The sequence below is a fragment of the Homo sapiens genome, chromosome X, assembly GCF_000001405.40.
Source record: "Homo sapiens chromosome X, GRCh38.p14 Primary Assembly".
Lineage (NCBI taxonomy): Eukaryota > Metazoa > Chordata > Mammalia > Primates > Hominidae > Homo > Homo sapiens.
This window is the reverse complement of record NC_000023.11, coordinates 145619959-145627840: the sequence shown is the minus strand read 5'-3', so window position 1 is coordinate 145627840 and position 7882 is coordinate 145619959.

Sequence of the window (7882 nt, the reverse complement as noted above, 5' to 3'; positions counted from 1 at the left end):
AGCCGATAATAATGCTGTTTGCATGGACAAACAATCAAACCAGCAAGCAAAAAGAAAACTCATAAAAACTGTGCCTTAACTTTGTTACCTACTTTTTAACCTTTTGTACTTAGTGTTTGCATCTTATTGTGTTGTCTATGTCTGCAGAGATTGTTGTCATTATTATTTTTGACTGTTTCATAGTTTAGTCTTTTACTAAGGATAAGAATAGTTTACATACCACATTTACAGTGTTACAATATTCTGTGTTTTTCTGTTTAGCTACTATTACCGGTGGGTTTTGCGCCTTCAGATGATTTATTTCTCATTAACATCTTTTTATTTTTGAATGAAGTACTCCATTAAGTGTTTCTTGTGGGATAGGTCTGGTGTGGCTGAAATCCCTCAGCTTTTGTTTGTCTAAGAAAGTCTTTATTTCTCCTTCATGTTTGAAGGTTATTTTTACGAGATATATTATTCTAGGGTAAAAGTATTTTCCTTCAGCACTTTAAATATGCCATGCCATTCTCTTCCAGCTTATAAGATTTCCACTGAGATGTCCAGAAGTATTGGAGCTCCGCTGCACATTTTTTTTCTTTTCTCTTGCTGCTTTTAGGATCCTTTCTCCATCCTTGACCTTTGGGAGTTTGGTTGTTAAATGCCTTGAGGTAAGCATCTTTGGGTTAAATCTGCTTGATGCTCTATAACCTTTTTGTACTTGGATATTAACATCTTTCTCTAAGTTTAAAAATTCTCTCTTATTGTCACTTTGAATAATATTTCTACTTCTAACTCAATCTCTACCACCTCTTTAAGGCCATTAGCTCTGATTTTCCCCTTTGCAGTTATTTTCTAGATCCTGTAGGTGTGCTTCCTTGTTTTCTATTTTTATTTTTTTGTTTTTTATCCTCTTACTGGGTATTTTCAAATAGCCTGTCTTTAAGGTCACTAATTCTTTATTCTGCTTGAAGAATTCTGCTATTTAAAAAATGTAATGCACTCTTTAGTATGCCTATTTCATTTTTCAGCTCCAAATTTTCTGCTTGCTTCTTTTAAATTATTTCATTCTCTTTGTTAAATTTCTCTGATAGAATTCTGAATTCCCTCTCTTTGTTATCTTGCATTTCTTTGAGTTTTTGCAACACAACTATTTTGTATTCTCTGTCTGAAAGGTCAGATATCTTTGTTTCCTTAGGATTGGCCACTGGTGCCTTATTAGTTAGTTGGTTGGGTTTATGTTTTCCTGGATGATCTTGATACTTGTAGATGTTCATCTGTGTCTGGGCATTGAAGAGTTACATATTTATTGCAGTCTTCACTGTCTGGGTTTGTTCGTACCTGTCCTTCTTGAGAAGGCTTTCCAGATATTCTAAAGGACTTGGGTGTTCTGATCTAAGCTGTGTCTGCTTTAGGGGGCACCCCAAGCACAGTAACACTGTTGTTCTTGCAGACCTATAGAGGTACTGCTTTGAAGGTCTTGGACAAGATTCAGGAGAATTCTTTTGATTATCCGCAGAAACTCTTGTTCTCTTCTCTTAGTTTCTCCCAAATGTACAGAGTCTCTCCCTCTCTGTTCTGAGCCACCTGAAGCTGAGCATGGAGTGATGTAAGCGCCACTGTGGCCTCTACCACTGTGACTGCACTGGGTCAGACCTGAAGCCAGCGCATCATTGGGTCTCACCCATGGCCTACTGTAACCACTTCCTTTCTCCCACCTATGTTTGCTCAGTACCCTGGGGCTCTACAATCAGTGGGTGGCAAAGACAGCCAGGCCTCTGTCCTTCCTTTCAGGGCAGCAAGTTCCCCCTAGCCCCAGGCAGTTATAGAGTTGCAGTCTGGGAGCCAGGGACTAGATTCAAAAACTTTAGAAGTCTGCCTGGTGTTCTGTTGTACTGTGGCTGAGCTGGCAGTCAATCCACTGCATGCCGTTCTTTCTACTCTTCCCTCCTTTTTCCAAAAGCAGAGGAGCCTCACCCCATAGCCACTACCACCACGGGCACATGTGGAATACTACCAGCCTACTGCCAATAGTCCCTTAAGGGGCCAGGTCTCTTCAGTCAGCATGTGGTGAGTGCTGCCTTGCCTGGGACTCACCTTCCAGAGACATGAACTCCTCTCTGGCCCAGAGCAGGTCTAGGAATGCCATCTAATAGCCAGGTCCCAGAATCGGGGACTCCAAATGCCTGCTTGGTGCTCTACACACTGTGGCTAAACTGGTACCTAACGTGCAAGAGAAAATCCCCTTTACCTTTCTCTCTGCTTTTCTCAAGCAGAAGGAGTCTTTGCCTACAGTCACCACAGCTAGAAATTTGCTGAGTCTTACCTGAATCCATCAAGGCTCAGACCCCCACCCGAAGCCCTCAATCTAGTGCCTGGGTATCACTGCTGGTTATTCAGGGCCCAGGGGCTCTTCAGTTAGCAGGTGATGAATGCTGCCAGAACTAGGTCCTTCCCCTCAAGGCAACAGGTTCCCTTCTGGCTCAGCGTGTGTCTAGCAATGTCATTTGGGAGCTAGGTCCTGGAAACAGGGCCTCAGGACTCTGATGAGTGCCCTATCCTGCTGTGGCTAAGCTGGCATCCAAGATGAAAGACAAAGTCCTTTCCACAGTTACATCTCTTATCCTCAGGCGGAAGGAAGGAGTCTCTTTTGGGGCTTTGAAATTTGCGGACTGAAGTGAGGAGAGGGGAGATGCCAGCACTCCCTTGGCTGCCCAAGCTGAAGTTTCAGTAGGTCTTCTGCCTCCCAGTTCACTGACTCTGGCCCCGGTCCCTCACTAAGACTCTTCTAGGTGTTGCAGTCCTTGTTTCCTAGACTGCATTTCGCATTTATTTAGAGCCCCAGAGTACCTTAGCCCAGGTTGGTGAGGTTTGCAGGAACTCAGGTTCCGACCTCTGGGGTTGCGTGATTCCCCTCTTGCTAGGGCTGGTTTAAATTCTCCCTTCATGGGCAGGCATTAGTTGAGTTTGGTCCGGTTTTTCTTTCTGCTCTTATACAACATCACTGAGTTCAGAGCCTCACAATTGCTGTGTTCTCCCCCTTGCAGTGCACTTAAACCGTCTTGGCACCTTGCTGCAGCTGCAGTGGGGTTGGGGAGGGGTGCCACTGGTGAATCAAGACTGTTTTTTTCTAGCTGTTTAGTGCCTCTTTCAATGATATGAAGTTAAAACCAGTACTGTGAGTGCTCACCTGATTTTTGGTTATCATAAAGGTGCATTTTTAATGTACATAGTTGTTAAATTGGTGTACTTGAGGGGTGGGGTGGCAACTGGTAAAGACTTCCATTTCATCATCTTTCTCTGCCTCCTCAGCATATATATTTTTTGAGAGTTTAGAAGGACAGTGCTGTTAAATACAAAATGTAAACAAGGCAGGAACAACCTAAGCATGTCTCCTATAACAAAGTTAATTTATATTCCTCTGGGATTACATGCTAGGACTTTATAACCCTCTTTCAATGTGCATATTGTCATGGGAACAGCATGCAGAAACCTTGGAAGAAAACATAGAAGAGATGAAATATTTAGTAAGGTTAGATTTCATGAAAATGCGAAAGATCTGATATTTTATCCTGTAGTTAATGTTTATTTGCTGTAATTGCACATTTTTTTATGTGCACAGAGTATGCTGATGATAGAAATTCTTTATTTTGGCACCCTCCTCTACTGCTTCTCTGATTACTATGAAATAAAGCTAGAAATTAAAAATAAACAGTTGAAATTCATAGAAATATGCAACCAATATTTTAAAATATTGTTCTAAATAACACTTAGGTCAAAGGGGAACTTCCAACTCCAACTGCAGACCATTTGGATATGTTACCAGTGGGAGCACTACATCTCAAAGTATATGGATGGTGGTGAAAGATGAGTTTAGAAGATTAATCGTCATATGTGTTTATCAATAATTCAACTAAGTAGAATAAAATAAATTGAAATAAATACAAGAGAGCATTTATTTAATAAATATTTATTTTGTGCCTACTATGTGCTAGACACTGTGCTAGGTACTAAAAATAAAGCAGCAAATACAACCAAGTCTGTGAACTCATAGAGCTTACATTGTAATAGAGAGAAATGGAAAACTAACCTGTAAATTGTTAAGTGAATAATATGTCAGATGGTAAGTGCTTGAGATGTGAACAGATGTGACATGCATTTATTCTCAGTGAAAGCTTCAAGAATCAACATGCATGATTTGTCATCTTCTCTTTTTTTGACTCTGTGATTATGAAAACAGGTGTCAAGATGGAGCTTCCATCAGCCATGGTCCATGAATAACTACAATAAGTAGACCTCTTGCTGATTCCCTGGCATGCGGTATAAATGAGAAATAGACATTGTTGTTTTAAGCCACAGGCATTTTCATGCTGTTTCTTACTGCAGTGTAATCTGACTCATACATCTAAGTGAAAATGTCACATAGGTAGCCGGTGATATAAAATGCTGGAAGATATATCAGGAATTACTAGTATGTAGATGGTAGTTAAATAATGGAACTGGAAAATATTACTGAGGGAATAAGTATATAGAAGAGGTCTGAGGATTGAGCTCTGGGTTTCTCCAAAGTTAAGAGATCAGTGAGAAGATAAGGACTCAGCAAAGGAGAAAGATGAAAAGCAATAAGCAGTACACGAGAAAGATGAAACAAGAACAAGTATTCTTGAACACAAGAATAGAGTATTTCAAGAAAGAAGAAATACCAATGGTTGTAATGTTGCCAATGGATCAAAGAAGAGGAGAAATGAGAATTAATCAGTGTATCTATAATGTGGAGGTCACTCCATCTTTGATAGAGGGAGTTTTGGTGGAATGATAGAAAATTCAATTTTAATGGAGTGGGTTGATGAGAGGATGGATGTAAGGAAGTGGAAGCAATGAGAATAGACAATTTTTAAAGCCATTGTTTAGTAAGGGGGAGCGAAGACTATTTTAGCTCCCACATATAAGTGAAATCGTGCACTATATGCTTTTCTGTGCCTGGCTTGTTTCACTTAACATAATGTTTTCTGGGTTCATTCATATTGTCACATATGTCAGAATTTTATTCTTTATTAAGACTCAATAATATTCCATTTTTTATCTATATATCTACGTATATATATTTATATATATATATTACATTATCTTTATCCATTCACCTGTCAGTAGACAATAGGGTTGTTTCCATATCTTGGCTATTGTGAATGATGCTGCAATGAAGGAAGAAAGGAAGAGAGAAATAAAGAAGAAAGGAAGGAAAGAAAAATTAATAAGAGTCAACAGATAGTGAAATCATCAAATAATCTGTGATATATATATAGAGAGAGATAGATACAAGCTTATTTATACTATTTTCATGGTGTGTATATATATATATATATGCAAGTATATATATATATATACAGCTTATTTATACTATTTCCATGGTGTGTATATATATATATATATTACATAATGTATATAATATATAATTTAATTTTAAAATGTTTAATAATATAATTTTAAATGTGAAAAAGAGTATGTCTCATATATAATGACATATGCCACATTATTAAGTGAGAAAATAAAGTTTCAGATAATTGTTTATAGTAGGATAGTATTTTTACTTTTTTTTTTTTTTTTTGTAAATACCTACTCTTCTTTTAGAGCTATTTGTGAATGAGGAATGGAAATGCAAGGATTTTAATATAGAAAGAACTCTAAGTGAAAAAAAGGGGTAGAACCATAACACATTTCTAAACTTTACCAAATGATGGGGTTTTTCAAATGCCATTATCTAGGCAGAGAGGTGGTATATGCAGTAGGATTCTTCTTCAAGGATTAGGAAAGCTGGCTATTAAAATCAGCCACTTGATTGAAGGCTAACTCAAAGTTGAGTATTAATTCATTGTCTCTCAAGTATAGTCAATTGTGTTAGATTGAATGGAGTGAAAATGAAGCTGAAACTCAGAGTGTTTACTCACTTTTCTTACCCCATTTGAATACCTTCTTCCAAGTAATACTAAACCTCTGCCTGGGTCTGCAGCTGGCAATAACAATACTGGTCAAGATTTTGACTTGTGTTTCTTTGGAGACATTATTTTTGTTCGTCCTGAAGACATAATTTTGTTGTTTCTTTTGTTTATGTTTTTATTATAAGCTTCTGAAGCAATTGAAAGTTTTGTTCAGTTTTTGAGATGTTACAGGTATGAGGCTATGTGTCCTGGTAAGTCTTTAGAACTTTGGAAAGTGGGACACAGGAGAGACTTAGAGTCGTATTAAACTCAGTTTTGAAGCTGCTGAAAGCACTACACAGTCTTTGATGGGAGACAGGCTTGGTTATATTTGCTGAAGGATGTATCAAGACTAACGAGGTACTTAAGTGAGACCCCTCTTAATGGTACCAATCATAGTGATAATATGGTGAAGGAGAGGCTTAGAGATTATTACTTCTATTGCAAACCAGCAGAAAGGAAATAAATTCACATTCTATTAAAAGTAGAAAAATATTTAATGTGCTGTCAAATAAGGGCACATAATAAATAAGCTATTATTGGTCTCCAGCAACTTCTGTAATGTTGCTGTCAACAGACATCATATTTTCTGTGACGGCTGATGCTGGGCTCTGGGAGTAGATGGATTGGAGAGCAGAGTTTGAGATCACCCCATTTTCCAAAAGTGTATTGTCTGGGGATCTAGGGAGAGAGGCAAACAGAATTCCCCGATGTTCTGCCTGATCTAAGTATGATGATGCTTTGGCTGTGGCTCGGTTACAATATTAGTATGACCTCTGTCTCTGTCTTGTGTTCTGGGGGTGGGGGTGTAGAAGCCAACATGAAGTGCTCTCTGCCCAAGCTTCTGTCACTTCCTCTCTGCTGAGTACTAAATGATTGCACACCACACACAGGAGAGGCCCTGAAGGTATAACAAGTGACAGAAGTATTCAATAAGGGGTTAAAAGGACAGTGTGATTTTCACCTTTGTTACCAGGGACAGATGATAATGAGATTCCTGTCATCATGGCTTATAGAGAAGAAATGACACAATTCAAACTACGTTGACTGCTCTGTTGCCATCAAGAATGATGGAAAGAAGAGAAAGACAGCTTTAATAATTCATTTCAACCAGCTCTTTCTTTGGTTTGGTTAACTGTCAGTTTTCATATATCCATATGATGGAATGATATACTACCAGTAAAATTATGTTTTTGAAGAATATTTAATGACAAAGGACAGTCTTATGATGTAATTTTAAATGTTAAAAAAATAATGCCACACTTTATTTATAACATAATCCCATGCAGGAAGAAAAGCCTTTGAGTTATAAACAATGATGAAATCTCAGTGATGGAAATAATTTTGTTTCCTTTTTCTGATGTTGATATATTTTCCAAATTTTCTATTTTAAACTCCTTTTGCTTTTGCAATTTGAAAAATCAAAGACCTTATTTTAAAAATGTCATTTTTTTTTGTAAAAACCACAGGACTTAATTCAAAGAACACTTGAAATTACACAAGGAAAAGGTAACAATGGAAGATGTAAGGGGGAGGGGTGGCATAGTTTTCTAATTTTGCTTTCTGCTGAGTTGTTTTGGCAGCTCAATTTGAATTACTCAAGCTGATGGGTTTTGTTTTAACCTTGTCTTTCAGAGAACCAAGATGGATAAAGTAAATGGAATGACAAAATGTAGGGTTGGCTAGAAATTCCATTATGATAAAGAATTAGAGAGCTAATATAGACATTGGCACAGATAGCTAAGTTTATTAATTCTTAGTAAAAGCAGAGGCAAGGACATCAAGGGGATCCATTTCCTCTGACATCATTTGGGAATGTCTTGGTAACAAACTCAGTGCTCATAGTCTATACTCTGTAGCAAAACAAGAGTAAATAAAAACAACTTACAAATCTAGGAAATGAAGAATATTTAATCAGTTGATCACTACAT